Genomic DNA, 19,492 nt, shown 5'->3' on the forward strand with positions numbered 1-19,492 from the left:
TGATCATGGGATCCCGCTTTGATTCCTTTTCTGTAGACTAGTGCCAGTTTGCCCAGTTTCATTACATTTTTGGAAAGAGCTAAAACTATGGTATCGTTTTATTGCAGTCCTCACATCAATCATAATTTGGAGCAGTCTTGGTGAAAGATGAGGAATTCAGACTGGGATCCTGGGCAAGGCAGGTCCAGGGGGCAAGAGGGATGGAATGCAGTGAGTACTTATTTTATATCATAAGTACAGCCACCTCAGCCTCATGACTTTTTAGCCACGGCTTCATTCCAAAGTGACCACAGTCATAAGGCCCAAAACTATCTTCTCTCTCTTTCTCTCTCTCTCTCTCTCTCTCTCTCTCTCCCTCCCTCTCTCTGTCATAGGGACCTCCCTAATCCTCCAGGTTGTACAGCCAGGAAGGGTAAGGTATTGTCAAAAACAAGTGAGGTACCCCCTTGATAGCTCAGTGGGCCAGAGGGCCTCTGGATGCTGGCTGATCATGGCAAAAACTAAATACAGAATCCATACAGTGGATTCTCTGTGCTTTTTCTCTTCACCCCTCCTTACCCTTGACCAAATTTCTGACTGTGTTATTTTCTTATTGCAGTCCTCCCTGCTAGATATACAACTTTGACTTTCATCAGAAGAAAGTGCTCCCATTGCATTATTAGCTAAACCATGTTGCAGTGGCAACGCTCCTTCTTCCAGCTTGCCTCGGTGTTTCTGTAGTTAGCATCAGGTGTCCTTGGTTCTGTTTACCAGCCTGTCCAGGGATCACTTCCCTGGTGGGATCTCTCTGGTGACCCTCATCTCAGAGCTCAGCGGTGCCTTTGGGGCTACTTGCCAGACAACTCCATGTGACAGAGGGCCAGGTCCAAGTGCTCGATCACCCCAGCCACCATTTCAGAGTTCTCGGATTATAGATCCCTCAACGAGTCCCAGTGAGACACCGAACATGCCATAGAAGCTATGTTTTTCTATTTCAGCACACAGTAAAACACTACCTCTTAGATGTCGATGAGTACATGCTGCTTTTATGTTGACGCAGAGGACCTGTGTTGACTCTTCATCGGCAAGGTGTCTTTTTTTTAAGTTTCAATTGACACATACCACCTCTGGCCCAAGTGGACCACACAGTTATGCATGCCCTTTGGTGCAAGATACATCACGTCTCCAAGAACTCGGGTGTTTTTCTGATCATGGAGAATTAGATTCCACATATAGCTTGTATTTAGGATCTGCAGATTAGGTTTTATAAATTATGTTTGGCAAATGATAATCCACAAAGTAGATTCTAAGTTAAAATACTATAAAGTACTATAATTTATGTTTAAATGTCTTTCAACCTGAGAGTTACTCTCCCTTAGAAGTCCCCAAAAATGCTGAAACCACACCAGGTTGATATCTGACCTTTCACTTTTGGAAAATGTGTATATTGTTGAACCTCTAATCTAGATTCGGACACCATCACCAACCAGCTTCTCTCTTTCAGTTGCCATCTGCACTTTACTGTTTAGTTTTTGTTGTCTTTAGGGAAAGTTGTAAAATACCCACATTCTTCTCAAGTTCTTCAAGTCTTTTGGTTTTTAGTAAACCCTTTTGTGACATTGTCTTTGAGAACAGAGGTCAACAAACATTTCCTTAATGGACTAGATAGTAGATATATCAGGACTTGCAGACCACATGGTCTCTGTCCTAACTACTCAACTCTGCCGTTATAGCACAAAACCAGCCGTACTCAATATATAAATGAATGACCCTGTGGCTGTGTTCCACTAAAACTTCATAAAAATAAGCAGCTGGCCAGATTTGCTGTGTGGGTCTTAGTTTGCCAACCCCTGATCTAGAAGAAAAGAGTTTTGTGTAATGTTTGGGTAATAAAATAAACATACCAAACCATCTCAGGAATCCCTAACCTTTTCCTCATTGGGAACTATTTTCCCAGTATCCCCAAGTACTGGTGGGAATGAGATAAAAAGGGCCAGGCATGCCATTCCCTAAAGCAGATAGCCAACCCTCTTTCTTTCCCTGTGGAAATCCCCTCTGCCTACAGGGAGGAGAAGCAACTGGTTTGGAAGCTGCCAGCCAGTCCGTTTATTTAGAAAATTCTAAGCCCAGTTCCAGATCACTTTGCGTCAACTCTAAAATACAGCCACAAATGAAATAAATGTTGTTTATAATCCTACCAAGTCTAGTAGGTGTGTATGTGCTTGAGGTTAAACTTTTGTGTAAGCTCCAGACTTACTTTAGGTTTATAGAAAATTACATCGCAATTGATACAATGGTTGTGTTGGGTGATGGAGATAGAAAGAGGGAGAAGAAGTGAAAGTGAAATTTTGGTCAAAATTGGATACCACCCTAATAAGCCGGGAGATAAGGGGTGCTGCAGAACTGTTTTCTGTGATACAGTGCATCTACATTGATAATTTGTGTTTTATGTACTTTTAAAATGAGGCTTTATTGGCTTGATTTCTGTGAGAAAAATCACTAATGGGCTGATCGTACTGCTCTACTTCAACATGCAAGAGAATTGCTCAGACGCTTGTCAGATGCCTGAACCACATACTTATTTGAGAATGTGCCATCATAGGAAGCTTTCATTCACCAAGGTCACCGAGAGGGCAGCCCAGGGAAGCACGTTGAACTTCGCATGGTTCTGGCCACTCGTGTCAGTAGCAAAGCAAGGAAATAAGGAGCTGACTTGCCCAAAAATTACAAGTTCAGAGAAAACGGACTTGTTTTGTTTGGAAAAGGCAGATAACGGAGCAGTAACTAAAGAATCCTCTTTTTTTATTATTATTGTTGTTGCTCAATTTATAAACCTAAACAGAAAATGTGTGTTGCCTTATTTCCTCTTCTTTTCTACAGATAACTTTCTTTTAAAACATTCTAAATATTAAGCAACATTGTAAGTACAGATTTTTTTTTTTTTTTTTTTTTTGAGTTGGAGTCTCACTCCGATCATCCAGACTGGAGTGCAATGGCGCGATCTTGGCTCACTGCAACCTCTGCCTCCTGGGTTCAAGCAGTTCTCCTGCCTCGGCCTCCTGAGTAGCTGGGATTCCAGGCACCCACCACCACATTTGGTTAATTTTTGTATTTTTAGTAGAGATGGGGTTTCCCCATGTTGGCCAGGCTAGTCTCGAACTCCTGACTCACCTCAGCCTCCCAAAGTGCTGAGAGTACAGGCGTGAGCCACCACGCCCGGCTAGTACAGAATTTTTTATGGCCCCTTTTAAAGACTGCAAACCTTTTTATACCAAAAAAAAATTATTTTTCCTGTATTTATTTTACACATTAGTAAATGAATGAAATTTTGGCTCTAGGTTTAGAAAGCAATTTCATTTTAAGCTCATTTTACTGTGTCATTGGACTTTTTATTAATTTTATTCTTGAACTACTTAGCTGAAAATCGAATTCTGTCATTATATGTAATCATATAATGCTTCTCATAATGTTACACTTTAATTAGATGCAGTTGAATAATAACCTAAAAAATCTTCATAGTCTATAAAATTCACACTTATATTTATAAGACAATATTATCTCACCCATTGATACATAATGTTATGTTAAAAGTACACAATATGGCCAGGTGTGGTGGCTCACACCTGGAATCCCAGTACTTTGGGAGGCTGAGGCGGCAGATCACTTGAGCCCAGGAGTTCGACATCAGCATGAGCAACATGTTGAAACCCCGTCTCTACCAAAAATACAAAAATTAGCCAGGCATGGTGGCGCACATCTGTAATCCCAGCAACTTGGGAGGCTGAGGCAGGAGGATCACTTGAACCCAGGGGACAGAGGTTGCAGTGAACAGAGGTTGCAGTGAGCGGAGATTGTGCCTCCTCTGCACTCCAGCCTGGATGACAGAGTGATACTCTGTCTCAAAAAATAAAAAGAGTACACAATATTATCTCACCCATTGATACATAATGTTATGTTAAAAGCACACTGCATTCTAGAGAAGGTAGAGTAACAGGGTCTTACTTTACCCTCCCACTTGAAACAAGTAAAAAACTGGACAAAGTATATGAAAAATACATCACTCAGGGCATTGGACACCAGGCAGCAAAAAACAGTGGCCCCTGAGAAATTGGAAACAAAGTGAGTCCTATAATTGTCCTTATCTAGAAAAAGTTTCCTGGCTACTGTGTAGAGAGAAGGAACCCAGGAGAAAGAGCTCAACTGTCTCCCTGAGTTGAAGACAGAGCTGGGGATACATCAAGGGAAACCAAGGCAGCTAGTTTGCAGAGGTGGAGGACCGGAGAGGAGAGAACTGCATAGAGAGAGCTTTGCGGATGTACAGAGTCCTCCTTGAGCATGCAAGTGCGTACTGATCAAAGTGTGGTTGTGAGAAAACTACCCATCACCAGAGAAAGGATCACCCGAAAGAATGAGGGAACAGTGCCTGCCTCCCACACAGTAGCCAAGAAGAGGTGCCTGTTGCCAACAGCTAGAGTGAAAACCTCTGAATGCAGGGGCACTGGTTAGAATACTAAGAAGGGTCTTGCCAGACATCCAATCCAAAATTAGCAGGCATGCAAAGATCTAGGAAAATACCACCTAAAATGAGAAAAGTCAATCAAAACTAACCCATTATACAGATGATAGAATTCATAGACACGGACATTAAAGTAGTTGTTGTGACTGTAGTTTGCATGTTTAAGAAACTAGAAGAAGGATTTAACATGTTAAATAGAGACAAAGAAGATATAACAAAGATATAAATCAAACTGAAGAGATGAAAACTGCAGTGCCTGAAATGATAAAAAAAAAAAACTCTTAATTAATAGCAGATTAGACATTGCAAAAGAAAAGCCTAGTTAACTTAAAGACATGCAGTAGAAACTATCTGAAATGAAACAGAAAAAGGCTGAAAAGAAGCAAGAGAGCAACATTGAGCTTTGGGATCATTTTAAGTAGCCAAAAATATGTAAAACTAGAGTCCCACAGGAGTGGAAAAAAGGAACTGAAAAATATTTGAAGAAATAATGGGCAAAACGTTTTCAAATTTGATAGAAACTATAAACTCATACATTCAAAAAAATGAGAACATTTTAAAAAGAGAGGATAAATGACACATTATGTAGAGAGGAACAAAGATAAATTGGCTGATGATTTCTTGTTGGAAACAACACAAACTAGAAGGTGGTAGGTCAATATTTTTAAAGCAGTGAAAGAAAATTCACAGCCTAGAGTTTTTTACCTGGTTAAAATATCTTTCCAAAACAAAGCTGAAATAAAGACTATTTTAGACACGTAAAAGCTGAAAAAATTCATCACTAGCTAACCTGAAGTACAAAAAGTGTTACAGAAATTCCTGCTGGCAGAAAGAAAATGATACCAGTTGGAAACCTGAATCTACCCAAAGGAATGAAGAACACCAAAAATAGTAACCGCATGGATAGAAAGACTTGTTCTTACTGTTTATCTTAAAAGCTATTACTGTATACAGTAATTACTGCATAAAGCAAAAATAATAAAAATGTAGTATAGCGTTAAAAACATTTAGAAGCTAAATATATGGCAACAATAACACAAAGTCTAAGAGGAGAGAAATAGAAGCATGCTTTTGTAAAATTCTTAGGCTATATGTGAAGTAGTATAACTATATGTGGTGTGGTAGTATAATTATATGTGAAGGTAGACTGTGCAAAGTGAAATGTGTATGTAGTCATGTGCTGTATAATAACGTTTTGGTCAAAAACAAACCGTGTATACAACAGCAGTTCCATCAGATTATAATACTGTATTTTTTACTGTACCCTTTCTATTGTATGTTTGCATGTATAAATACTTACCATTCTGTTACAGCCACCTACTGTATTCAGAACAATAACATGCTATGCAGGCTTGTAGCCCTGGTGCAGTAGGCTGTACCATACAGCCAAGGTGTGTAGGAGGCTATACCATCTAGGTTTGCAAGTACACTGTATGATGTTCACACAGTGACAAAATCACCCAGTGATGTGTTTCTCAGAATGTACCCGTCTTTAAGCAACACAGGACTGTGCTGTAAATGCAAGGTAACCATTTCAGTAATTCAACAACGTTATAGTTAAAGAGTTGTAACCTTGTTATAGTTAACAAAGTTAATATATAGTTATCTACAAAGTAGATAAAATGAAATCATTAAAAATAATCCAGAGGAAGCAGAAAAGGGAAAAAGGAACAAAGAACAGATAGGACAATAAGAAAAAGAATAGCAAAATAGTAGATTTAAACTCAACTATATCGATAATCACACTAGATATAAATGTCCTAAATACACTAATTAAAATGCAAAGAATGTCAGATTGGCTAAAAATGCAAGAGCCGACTATTACTGTCAACAAGAAACCCTTTTTAAATCTAAAGACATAAGTAGGTTAAAGGTAAAAGGATGGAAAAGCGCTAATACTAATCAAAAGAAAATTGAATTGGTATATCAATATCAAAGTAGAACTAGAGCAAAGAGTAGTACCAAGGATATAAAAGAGGCTTGTTTCATTATGACAAAGGGGCCGTTTCACGAACAGGACATAGCAGTTCTAAGTGTTTAAGCATATAATAACAGAGCATCAACATAAATGAAGAAAAAAAAAGATAAAATTATAGGGAAAAATAGAAAATCCACAAATATAGTCAGAATTTTTTAAACCCCTCTCAGAACAAGTAGAGTAAAAATCAATAAGGATTTAGAAGACTTAAACAATGCTACAATTCAGCTTGACTCCACCCAACAACAGCAGATTACGCATTCTTTTCAAACGTACACAGAACATTTGCCAAAATAGACCATATTCTGAGTCACAAAATGTCTTAATAAATTTGTAAGGGCTCAAATCATACAAAATATGTTCTCTAACCACAGTGGGATTAAATTAGAAATCAACACTGAAAGACATCTGGAAACACTCCAAATATTTGGAAATAAGCTACAGAGTGGGAGAAAATATTTGCAAGTTATCTATTTGATATAAGGATTTGTATATGGAATACTAAAACTCAAAACTCAATGAGAAAATAACGCTTTTAAAAGATGACTGAAAGATTTGAACACATATTTCACCCAAGAAAATACATGAAAATATGCTTACCATCACAGGCATTAGGGAAATGGAAATTTAAACCACAGTGAATACCGCTGCATAGCTATTAGAATGTCTACAATTAAAAAGATTGACCAGCTAAGCACAGTAGCTCATGCCTGTAATCCCAACACTTTGACAGGCAGAGGCAGGAGGATGGCTTGAGCCCAGCCTGGACAACATAGGGAGGAGACTCTGTGTCTACAATAAAAGAAAAAGAAAATTAGCCAGTTGTGGTGGCCTAGCTGCTCACTTGGGAGGATGAGGTGGGAGGATTGCTTGAGCCCAGGTTGAGGCTGTAGTAAGCTGTGATTGCACCACTGCACTCCAGCCTGCAAGACAGAGCAAGACCCTGTCCCAAAGAAAAAAAAGATTGGGCTGGGCACGGTGGCTCACAGCTGTAATTGCATCACTTTGGGAGGCTGAGGCAGGTGGATCACTTGAGGTCAGGAGTTCAAGACCAGCCTGGGCAACATGGGGAAACCCCAACTCTACTAAAAATACAAAAAATTAATTGGGCATGGTGGCACACGCCTGTAATCCCAGCTACTCGGGAGGCTGAGGCCCGAGAATTGCTTGAACCCAGGAAACAGAGGTTGCAGTGAGCCAAGATTGTACCACTGCACTCCAGCCTGGGTGACAGAGTGATACTCTGTCTAAAAAAAAAAAAAAAAAAGACTGACCATACCAAATGTTGGCAAGGATGTGGAACAACTGGAACCCTCATACACTGCTGGTAGGAATATATAACAGTACCACCCCCTTGGAAATCAATTTGGGGTCGTTTCTTAAAAAGTTAAAGTGCACCTGCCATATAGTCAAGACATTCTCTTTCTAAATATTTACCCAAGAGAAATGCAGTATATGTCCATGTAAAGATCCGTGCATGAATGTTCGTAGCAGCTTTTTTGTAATAATATACAGTAAGCTTTACACTTTGACATGTGCAGTTTATTGTATGTAATTTGCCTCAATAAAAGTTTTAAATAATACAATTTTATCCAAAATAAAGTTGTGAAAAGTAGAAAAATGAGGAAAAAGTTTCAAAGGTTAGAGGGGTCAGTCCAGGAGACCTAACATCTAACTAATGGGAATTCCAATAAGACAGAAGAAACCAGAAGGGAAGAAATTATCAGAGAAATAATCCTCAGCCTTCCACCCAAAATTTTCTCTCCTAGAACTGAAGGACTCCCAAATCAAAAGGGTCAGCAAAATAAATGTATAGACTCACACCAACACACTTCATCATAATAGTAAAAAGAACAGTAGAGTCAAAAAGAGGATACTAAAAGCTTTCAGAGGGGGAAAAAACAAAACATGCAAATAATCTGGAACCCGAATGGCATCAGACTTTTCAACGGTAATACTGGGCTGGGTGCAGTGGCTCACGCCTGTAATCCCAGCACTTTGGGAGGCCAAGGCAGGTGAATCACCTGAGGTCAGGAATTCAAGACCAGCCTGGTCAACCTGATGAAACCCCATCTCTATTAATAGTACAAAAATTAGCTTATTTCTTAAAAGCCAGCAAGGGGGATGGTTTTTTCCTTGGGCTGGTGGCACGCATCTGTAATCCTAGCTACTCGGGAAGCTGAGGCATGAGAATTGCTTGAACTTGGGAGGTAGAGGTTGCAGTGAGCCAAGATCGTGCCACTATACTCTAGCCTGGGCGGCAGAGTGAAACTGTGTCTTAAAAGAAAAAAATAAATAAAAGTTATCAAAAAACAAAAACAAAACCATAATACTGGAGGCTAGATTACAATAGAGCAATATCTTCAAAATTCAAGGAAAATGGCCAGGCGCGGTGGCTCACGCTTGTAATCCCAGCACTTTGGAAGGCCGAGGCGGGCGGAGCACGAGGTCAGGAGATCCAGACCACGGTGAAACCCTGTCTCTACTAAAAATACAAAAAATTAGCCGGGCGTGGTGGCAGGCGCCTGTAGCCCCAGCTACTCCGGAGAGGCTGAGGCAGGAGAATGGCATGAACCCAGGAGGTGGAGCTTGCAGTGAGCCAAGATCGCGCCACTGCACTCCAGCCTGGGCGACAGAGCAAGACTCTGTCTCAAAAAAAAAAAAAAAAAAAAAATCAAGGAAAATAATATACCCAGCTAAACCATCATGAAGTGTGATAAGAATAATGACGAAGCCAGACATTTTAGAAAAATCTACCCCTAGCGCCCTTTTTCTCAAGAAGCCACTAGAGGAGTATTTCACTCAAATGAGCAAGCAGAGGAAGGAGGATTGCTTGAGCCCAGCCTGGGCAATGTACAGAGACCCCATGTCTACAAAGAAATAAAAGAAGAAAATTAGCCAGGTGTGGTGGCCTGTAGTCCTAGCTACTCACTCAGGAGGATGAGGTAGGAGAATTGCAAGTAAATGAGCAAGTAAACCACAGAAGAATATTAATTTTCTCTTTTTTCTGCTGCATAACAAATGAGCACACATTTAGTGGCTTAAAACAGCTCACATGTATTATCTTCCATTTCTCTGGGTCAGCTTAGCTGGGTTCTCTGCTTCAGACTGCGAAAATTGTCTCATCTGAGGCCTGGGTTCCTCATCAAAGCTCATTTGGCAGAATTCCATTCCTTGAAGTTGTGGGACTGAGGGCCCAGCTTTTTGCTGGCTGTCAGCTGGAGGCCACACCCAGGTCCCAGAGGCCATGTGGGTTTTTGCCATGAGACCTTCTCCTTCGTCCATTCACAGCATGGCAGCTTATTTCTTGAAAGCCAGCAGGGGGGATGGGTTTTCTCTGGAATCTGTTAGATGAAGTGACCTCCCTTCACTGTCACTCGTGCCATATTCTGCTGGTGAGAAGCAAGTCACAGGCCTCACCTGCACTCAGGGAGGGACTCACTGGGAGTCGCCGCCACAGTGTGGCTCCAGGAATGGAAACTACCACACTGCAGAGGTGCAGGGAATCCCCAGGATTATGGTCAAGAAAGAGCCCACTAAGTGTTTTGTTCAGTAGGCCTGCAGGATGAAGGGTGCCAGGAGGATGGCTCCATGAAAGACTGAGCCTATACGTGAACGTACTGAAAGCTGACTTACAGTTCAGCCAGTGTGGTGGTATGTGATTGACAGCGCCCTAGCAAGATGAGCAACAAAGATACAAGACTCCAGCAGAAACAAGCTGCAGAAGAACAGGAGTGTAATCAATAAATCAGATGGCCTTGCTGTGAACGGTTACATAGCTCTGATAAATCCTGATCTAACCAAAAGTCATGACAGCTCGATATTTGGGAGCTGGAGGGGGTGGGGAGTAGGGGTAGTAGGATATGAAGGAGCTAAGTCCCCATTGTTGATATTAGAAATCCAGTGGGTAACATCTGAACGGCAAGACCAGGACAGCAGCGAAAGGCAAAAAGACACCACTGAGTGTTGACAGTGGCTGCCTTTCAGGAGTGGGAATGCCACTGGGGGCAGGGCAGTGGGGGGCAGGGAACAGGTTTTTCTGTTTGTTTTTTGTTTGTTTGTTTGTTTTGTTTTGAGATGGAGTTTCACTCTTGTTGCCCAGGCTGGAGTGCGATGGCATGATCTCGGCTCACAGCTGGAGTGCGATGGCGTGATCTCGGCTCACCGCAACCTCCGCCCCCCGGATTCAAGCAATTCTCCTGCTTCAGCCTCTCAAGTAGCTAGGATTACAGGCATGCACCACCACGCCCAGCTAATTTTGTATTTTTAGTAGAGACGGAGTTTCACCATGTTGGTCACGCTGGTCTCAAACTCCCGACCTCATGTGATCTGCCCACCTCGGCCTCCCAAAGTGCTGGGATTACAGGTGTGAGCCACTTCGCCTGGCCATGGGAACAGTCATGTTGCATAGTAAGCCCTAAAGAGCAGTGTGATCTCTTAAGCCAGCACGTGATTTACTTTGGTAAAAATTAAATTAAAAAAAAAGAAATTAGGCCAGGCGTGGTGGCTCACACCTGTAATCCCAGGACTTTGGAGAGCCGAGGTAGGCGGTTCACCTAAGGTCAGGAGTTCAAGACCAGCCTGGCCAACGTGGTGAAACCCCGTCTCTACTTAAAATACAAAAAAAATAGCTGGGCGTGGTAGTGCACATCCATAAATCCCAGCCACTCGGGAGGCTGAGGCAGGAGAATTGCTTGAACCTGGGAGGTGGAGATTTCAGTGAGCCGAGATTGCGCCATTGCACTCCAGCCTGGATGACGGAGTGAGACTCTGGCCCAAAAAAGAAAAAAATAATCCTATTGGTCTCATAGTGTTTCTCTGTATTTTTAATATACTGTGTATGTGCTTATGAGAAACCGAAAGAGAAGTGATTTGTGAACGATTTGAGGACTTTTGGTCCACGTTTTTTTCTCCCACTTATACTTGTGGCATAATCCAGAGGAAGAAGGGCAGCTGCGGAGTCCCAGCAGTGTTGCGGGTATCAGGGCAGCCAGTGAGAGGATGGAGGAGAAACCCAGGAGAGGGCAGAGGAGGAGGGACAGCTGTGCCCACCTGGTCCTTTCATTGTTGTCTGCCTCTGCCCTTGCAGTTAGAAAAAGAGTGTTCTGTGTATAGAAGCCTTTGCAAGTAGCATAGTTAGGAGTCTTTCGGTCCAGGAATTGAAGGTGCTAAAGCAGGAGGAAAACATACATAGAAGAAAGGAAATGTCCACATAAGTAAGTGTATTAGTCTGCTAGGGCTGCCGTAACAAAAGACCATAGACTGGGTGGCTTCAACAACAGAAGTTTATTTTATTTTCTCACAGTTCTGGAGGCGGGAAGTCCAAGATCAGGGTGCTGGCAGGGCTGGTTTCTGCTGAGGCCTCTCTTCTTGGCTTGCAGACAGCTGTCTTCCCTGTATGTCGTCTTCTCTGTACACAAACATCCCTGTGACCTCTTCCTCTTCTTTTAAGGACACTCAGTCCTATTGGATTAGGGCCCCATGCTTATGACCTTTTTGGGTTGTTTTTTGTGTTTGTTTTGAGATGGGGTCTTGCTCTGTCACCCAGGATGGAGTGCAGTGGCACGATCATGGCTCCCTACAGCCTCGACTTCCTGTCTCCAAATGTAGTCGTATTGGGGGATTAGGATGTCAATATAGGGGTTTTGAGGGGATGCAGTTCAGTCCATTATATACAGTAAGCCACTTCTAGACCCAGTCTGAAGTCCTGAGCATTCAGCTGGTATCTGGAGTGGATCACCTAAGAAACATTACAGAACAATATAGGCCTCTGGTATTTAAAATAGTTTAATTACGTCACAGGGTAGTCCTGAATTCTTTCCTACTTCAGCCAGTCTTGGCCAGCCGAGTTTCAGGGTAGTGATGAGCACTGATGAGGTGACTCCCCCTTCTCCAAACTCTTCCTTTGCCACTGTCCCAAGAAAACCATAAAGGGGAAGTTTAAATGATGGATGTAATTTTCCTGACTTGGGCTGGGCGCAGTGGCTCACACCTGTAATTCCAGCACTTTGGGAGGCTGCGGTGCGCAGATCACCTGAGGTCAGGAGTTCCAGACCAGGCTGGCCAACATGGTGAAACGCTGCCTCTACTAAAAATGCAAAAAAAAAAAAAAAAAAAAAAAAATAGCCAGGCATGGTGGCACACGCCAGTAATCCCAGCTACTTGGGAGGCTGAGGCAGGAGAATTACTTGAACCTGGGAGGCAGAGGTTGCAGTGAGCTGAGATCTTGCCACTGCACCCCAGCCTGGGTGACAGAGACTGTCTCAAAAATAATAATGATTTCCCTGTCTTATGTTTTTCTACTACACAGCTTATTATCTCTGGGCAGGAGCTTTCCCAGGGTCGGAGGGGCAAGGGTCTAGTTGTGAGGGAGAGAGGTGAAAGCAAAAGGGAAATGCTAAATGACATGGCACAGCAAGCAAGGTCTAGGCAGCTGCGCCTTTGATAACAAGCTGCTTGAAGAGAAAGACCAGATCGGCTGAGTGAAAGCACTGTCCATCCTCCCCACCCCTTCCTTCCTGCTTCCTCCTCTTCCCATCTCCTCCAGCTTCTCCTTAAAGGGACTACCGAATGATGATTTCCTTGCCAGTAGGACCTTGACATAAAACCCAGCCCACAACATCACAGTTGATTTTCAAGGGATGAGCTTCTCAGAAACCAGAATTTAATTACTTAATTTTGAGTTTCCAAACAATAAAATATATTATTAAATTGATTTGTTTTCCACACGTAGTGGAGATTTTCATGGTGTGCTACCTGTCGGTCAAACGGCTGATGAATGAGTATGTCGCAAAAACTCTAGGTGGGAATATGACACATGAGGAATGGAATTTGTGCTTCAGCTCTTCCCAGCATCTTCTTGGGCTGCACAAGAGTTGGTAGTCTTTCATCTCCTAAGGACTGAAGGGCCATTTAGAATCACACCTGTTTTGAGTTTATAGTCACGCTTCTGAAACTTTCTCTCTTACAGCCTTATCTGACCTCAATCAAGCTACCCCTGTTCATTTAAATACTTTAGGTCTTGGCTATTGGTTTAGCTTAACATTTGATTGCCATAAATAAGAACTACAGAAAGCGTGACTTGTAAAATTGTAGACCCAGAAAAATTAGGGAACAATCTCATAATACTAATGAAACCTTTTTTCCCATAAAATAAATACATAATTAGATATAGAAGATTTTTTTTTTGGTTTAAGCTATCTTTTCCTATTTCTATCTTAAATAATTTACAACTCTCCTTTAATCCAGGCAATTATCAATTCTATAATAAAATAACAACAATGGGTACTGTGTATTAAACTCTAAACTAGGGTCCTTCATCTCATTTGAATTTTGAAATGACTCCATAATATATTGTTATACTCATGCTGTAGTTATAGATAAAGAACGAGGGCTGACCTTTGACAATCACAATCAAAAAAAACAAAACAAAAGAAGTGAAGGCTGAGCGAAGTAACTCACCCAGCAAGATGCAATTCGTATAGGGTAGAGTCCCCTGTCTCCCGATAATGCTTTGCCCCACACCTGAAAGTCTTGATCTGGTTCCCATTACCCCTCAGACTTTGGGTCCCCAGTAGAACCTTTGCACTTGCAGTTCTCCTTCCTAATGGGCTCAGGGAAACTCACATGACTGCCTGGAGGCTGTTTCTGCACCTGTAGATGGGAATGGGCAAGTCTCTCCCGACTCACTTGTCTCATAGTGTTGTTGAAAGGCTCAGGTGTGATCATTACAGTGAAATAAGGAAAGGCAGGGAAGAATCTCCATCGTTCTCCAAATACGAAGAATGAAATGCAATTTTTTTTTTTTTCTTTTTGAGACGAAGTCTCACTCTTGTCACCCAGGCTGGAGTGCAGTGGTGCCATCTCGGCTCACTGCAACCTCTGCCTCCCAGGTTCAAGCGATTCTCCTGCCTCAACCTCCCGAGTAGCTGAGATTACAGGCACCTGCCACCATGCCCAGCTAATTTGTGTATTTTTAGTAGAGATGGAGTTTCACCATGTTGGCCAGGATGGTCTCGATTTCTTGACCTCGTGATCTGCCCACCTCGGCCTCTCAAAGTGCTGGGATTACAGGCGTGAGCCACAGCGCCCGGCCACAAATAAGTTTATACCCTTGTAGTCATGGCCTTTCTTTTATCTTTCTGGTAATGAATAAAAATGAAGCATATAAGTGACAGAGAAACCAGCTACTTGATCAATAGTGGCATTGTTTCACAATTGTCTGTATTGGATTTTGCCAACCCACTAGAGAGTTACCAAAGCACATTTCTGACATAACTATGATTGATTTTTTTTTAATTTTTGACTAAATATGTTACTTTGACTAAATTGGTTACTTCATTGCATAATGGTGACCATTTACACTTTTCAGATAGGTACAAAAAATCTGTGTATTCTAGCTGGCCATGAAAGAGTAGCAAGCCTGTTATTTTTAAGAAAAAAGCTCGAGTAGTTACTGTATTTGTATCATTTTGGAAATCTCTCATTTTTCTAATCAGCAAAATGGGGATAATGTAAATAACAATAACCCTGACCTCACAGGGTTCTTGGGATTAAATGAGATATGGTGCATACAACGTGCTTAGCATGGCGCCTGGAGTATGGTCAGAACTTAACAAACACAAGTTATAAATGAGGTCCCGAAATACAAGAAATTCACTTCCTCAGAAACCTTCCTTGAGCCTGGCTACATCTATAGCTACATTTTCTACATGTTAAATGCCTCCCTCAGAAGTGTCACTGTTGGAGTTGCCAGGGCACCAATTTATTACTTTGAAAATAGATAAATAAAAGAATCAAGACAAAAGAAAAAGGTGCTACCAAAGAAGACATTCTGTCTTACACTGGATCACACGAGATGTGGATATTTGGCCCGGAACTGCTCACATGGGTCAGCAAGCCTGAGAATGACCGTGGAGAGAAATGGCTGGGGCTGCAGGACTCAGCCAAGCCTGGCACGCGTGTCTTCCGGGCACCGGAGCAGGACGTTGTCTGAAAACATGAAGAATGAAATGGAAGTAATGTAATACCTGGGGTCGGGGCTGGGGGAAGCTTTCTAAGTACAGGCAGGGTCTTTCTATGTTGCCCAGGGTGGTCTTGAACTCCTGGCCCCAAGCGATCCTCCCACCTCGGCTTCCCAAAGTGTGGGGATTGCGAGTGTGGGCCACTGTGCCTGGCCTAATTACTGATTTTAAATATTAATCTTTCTAAAAGTCAAACTCCAGAACTGTGCATGTAGAACTATTCAATTTCTGTATATAACTATAGAAATATATATTAGACGGGCCGGGCGTGGTGGCTCATGCCTGTAATCCCAGCACTTTGGGAGGCCGAGGCGGGCAGATCACGAGGTCAGGAGATCGAGACCATCCTGGCTAACACACGGTGAAACCCCGTCTCTACTAAAAATACAAAAAATTAGCCAGGCGTGGTGGCGGGTGCCTGTAGTCCCAGCTACTCGGGAGGCTGAGGCAGGAGAATCGCTTGAACCCGGGAGGTGGAGCTTGCAGTGAGCCGAGATCGCGCCACTGCACTCCAGCCTGGGTGACAGAGTGAGACTCCATCTCAAAGAAAAAAAAAAAAAAATATATATATATATATATATGTATATATTTATATATGTATATACACACACACACACATTAGATAAGCACATTGTTTATATAGGAATCAAAAATTACCTGTGAGTAATTTTTATTTATGTAATTTAATAATTACATAAAAATTATTTGCAGAGGTTACCTCTGGAAGCAGTATTAGAAGTGGAGGACTTTTTTCTTCTATGTTGAAAATATTTTAAGTAAATTTTTAAAAACGAATAGAAATTTAATCAGGAACAGGCTTTCTACCATTAAAAAACTTTATAGTCTTCTTTACAAAAGAAGAGAAATAATTGTACTTGTTCAGTCATTCAAGGCCACTGAAATAATTGGCATAGCTTGAGCTCTGTAGTACTGTCACAATATGCAAACACAGTGTGGTAATTTTTATAGTAATTGAACATGACTTACGTCTTAGAAAGTCATAAGTTAGGAATTTATTCTGTTCGTTCTTTTGAAGTGAAAAGTAAAGAAAGCAAAACATTTTTTGGCCGGGCGCGTTGTCTCACGCCTGTAATCCCAGCACTTTGGGAAGCCGAGGCGGGTGGATCACCTGAGGTCAGGAGTTTGAGACCAGCCTGGCCAACATGGCAAAACCCCATCTCTACTAAAAATTCAAAAATTACCTGGCCATGGTGGTGGGTGCCTGTAATCCCAGCTACTCGGGAGGCTGAAGCAGGAGAATCACTTGAGGCCAGGAGGCAGAGGTTGCAGTGAGCAGAGATTGTGCTACTACACTTCAGCCTGGGCGACAGAGCGAGACTCTGTCTCAAAAAAAAAAACAATGACTTTGACCTGAATGTCCCAAGGGTCTGCTTTGTGTAGTCTGCCCCTCTACAAGCAGGGACCAGGTCTTGGTCACCTGGTGTCCTTGTAGTAAGCTCTTAGCAGGGACTGGGTCCTGGTCACCTGGGTGTCCTGGTAGTAAGCTCTTAGCAGGGACTGGGTCCTGGTCACCTGGGTGTCCTTGTAGTAAGCTCTTAGCAAAGGTTGCTGAGTCGAATGAACTTCACCGTTTCGGTCCTTTGGTACAGTAACAGGCACTCAAGAGAGTCCACGCTGTAGGGTTGATCAGCCACCATGAGAGAGAAGTATACTCTAAGAGCACACACCATCAACCCCAGAGCATCCCTGCCGACCAGGAATGTAGTTACAGCGGTGCAGGTTCCCAGCTACCCCAAAGAAATCCCAGGAGAGTCCATCTCTACTAAGTCAAGCAAATAGAAATTGCAACTGTAGCAGCACAATCTATTTTCATTATATAGTGTGTGTCTCTCTCTCCCCTCATCTCTCTCTCTCTCTCCTTTCCCCTCGGTCACTTGACATTGATACTGGGCCATTTATCCTCGTGCATCATCTTAGAGTTACATTTGTATAATTATCAACATGGCCATTTGATATAAACAATTCCGTCCCTCACATCCAAAGAAAAGGGAAGAGACAGAAAGAAAAGGCCTAATTTCTGAGCAATTTTTGTTGTTTGTTTCCCATTTTGTAATTGTCCTCCATCTTTACTCATCTGTTTTTTTAAATATTAATTATTTTTTTGAGACAGGGTCTGGCTCTGTTGCTCAGGCTGGAGTACAGTGGTGCACATGGCTTACTGTAGCCTCGACCTCCTGGGCTCAAGAGATCCTCCCACCTCAGCCCCCTAAGTAACTGGGACCACAATTGTGCACCACCACACCTGGCTAATTTTTGTTTGTTTTTTGTAGAGATGGGGCTTTGCCATATTGCCCAGGCTGGTCTTGAACTCCTGGGCTCAATCCATCCTCCTACCTGAGCCTCTCAAAGTGTCAGGATTACAGGCGTGAACCACCATGCCTGACCAAAAATACTTTCTGAGGGTCTAATATTGCCAGGCACCGTGTTAACAATTCAGAAAATACTCCTGCTTAATAAATAAAGACTTGAATTTTTTTAGTTACTTCATTGAAAAGAAAATCTTTTTATTTAAATTGTATCGTCAGCCAGGCGCAATTGCTCACCCCTATAATCCCAGCACTTTGGGAGGCCGAGGCAGACGAATCATTTGAGTCAGGAGTTCAAGACTAGTCTGGCCACCGTGGTGAAACCTTGTCTCTACCAAAAATACAAAAATTAGCCAGGCATGGCGGCGGGCACCTGTAATCCCAGCTATTTGGGAGGCTGAGACAGGAGAATTGCTTGAACCCACGAGGCGGAGGCTGCAGTGAGCTGAGATCACGCTGCTGCAGTCCAGCCTGGGCGACAGAGCCAGAGGCCATCTCAAAAATAAATAAATAAATAAATAAATAAATAAATAAATAAATAAATAATAAAATTGTGATGTAGTTAACTGGTATAATCTTTTCAGTTATTTTTAAATTTTTGAAACAACACGCTGTATATCAGCCATCCATCAGAGAAGGAAAGAAATATGTAGAAGGACTGTCTTCTGCTTCAGATCATGAACTGTAGGAACAAAATAGATATGTGTAAAAATGCTGCTCCTTTTCTGAACCAAAATAAAATTAGATTTTTGTTGTTGTGGTTGTTGTTGGAAAAGGTAGTAGATTTCAGGCAAAATCAGAAAATAAATTATTTCAGAAACACAACAAAACTAAGTACAACGATATTTTGGTTAAGAAAATTATGGTTAGAAATTATGATTCTATCACTTTATGAAACAGAATCTTTAATAATTTTTCAGCTTATACCAAGGATATTCTTTTATTTCTTAATGACTAGTTTTAAATATATGACTATTCTCTCTGTACAGATTTTTAATTAATGCTCATAAAGGCTATTGATAGAACTCATTCTTTCTCCAAAATGGAGTTAACCCGAAATGGGTAGAGATTCAGAAGCTTCATTGTAGTTAAAATTAGGGTCATGAAGGGCAAAAGCCCAGGTATTTCAGCCTTTGTAGAAGAATCCATTAATGCAGCATTACAAGTAAGTGTAATTTAGTGGCTCCTTAGTTATTTTAAGCAAGAGGCCTCCTTAAAGGGCACACAGATAAAGTCAACATAGATCTCCACTGACCCCAGGCGTGCGGCCAGAGGTCAACTCCCAACGGCTGTCTGGGCTCCTTTTTCCCTGCAGTGCTGTATGTCTGGGGGGGTGACAATCCTTTGATAACAGTTTTTTTTATTGGGAGAAAATTTGTGGGAATGCATAAGGTCTTGCTAACATAATTCCACATTATGCTTGCTCAACAGGAGAAGTTTTAGTTTAAATGTAGACTTATTGGAGATGGCTGTATATCTGCAGGTCAGGGAGTCTCGCGTCTGCAGATTCTTTGTGGTTTCTCGTCTGTCGTCGCTTATCCCAAATAAGTAGCTGCACTTCTTGGAAGAGATGATTGCGTCACTTGAAGGGGTCATGGGAGTCTACTGATTGAACTCATTTTTCTCCCATCTGAAAGAAAGAAAAGTTGAAACAAGAGGAAAGACATTT

At 41.9% G+C, this 19,492-nt stretch overlaps 1 protein-coding gene and 1 long non-coding RNA gene across 19 annotated transcripts in view; one reads left to right on the forward strand and one right to left on the reverse strand.

The window, feature by feature from the left end:
- Window positions 1-19,492, forward strand: part of MTHFD1L (methylenetetrahydrofolate dehydrogenase (NADP+ dependent) 1 like) — a 236,186-nt gene that overhangs the window by 203,226 nt on the left and 13,468 nt on the right. For 2 of the 18 annotated variants that reach the window (XM_011535729.4, XM_047418610.1), the window contains exon 27: window positions 108-9,141. The exons of 15 other annotated variants lie outside the window; for them this stretch is intronic. In XM_011535729.4, the coding sequence (XP_011534031.1) occupies window positions 108-125 (18 nt within the window). In that variant the 3' untranslated portion in view covers window positions 126-9,141. Of the gene's footprint in view, window positions 1-107; window positions 9,142-19,492 lie in introns of those variants that run through there. One more of the 18 variants, NR_146719.2, reaches the window with a different exon arrangement.
- The window catches only part of LOC124901432 (uncharacterized), a 62,877-nt gene continuing 62,551 nt past the window's right edge, over window positions 19,167-19,492 (reverse strand). Inside the window, exon 4 of the long non-coding RNA XR_007059813.1 lies at window positions 19,167-19,453. This is a non-coding gene — a long non-coding RNA (uncharacterized LOC124901432). The remainder of the gene's footprint in view (window positions 19,454-19,492) is intronic.

This window comes from Homo sapiens, chromosome 6, assembly GCF_000001405.40.
Source record: "Homo sapiens chromosome 6, GRCh38.p14 Primary Assembly".
In the NCBI taxonomy this organism is placed as follows: Eukaryota; Metazoa; Chordata; class Mammalia; order Primates; family Hominidae; genus Homo; species Homo sapiens.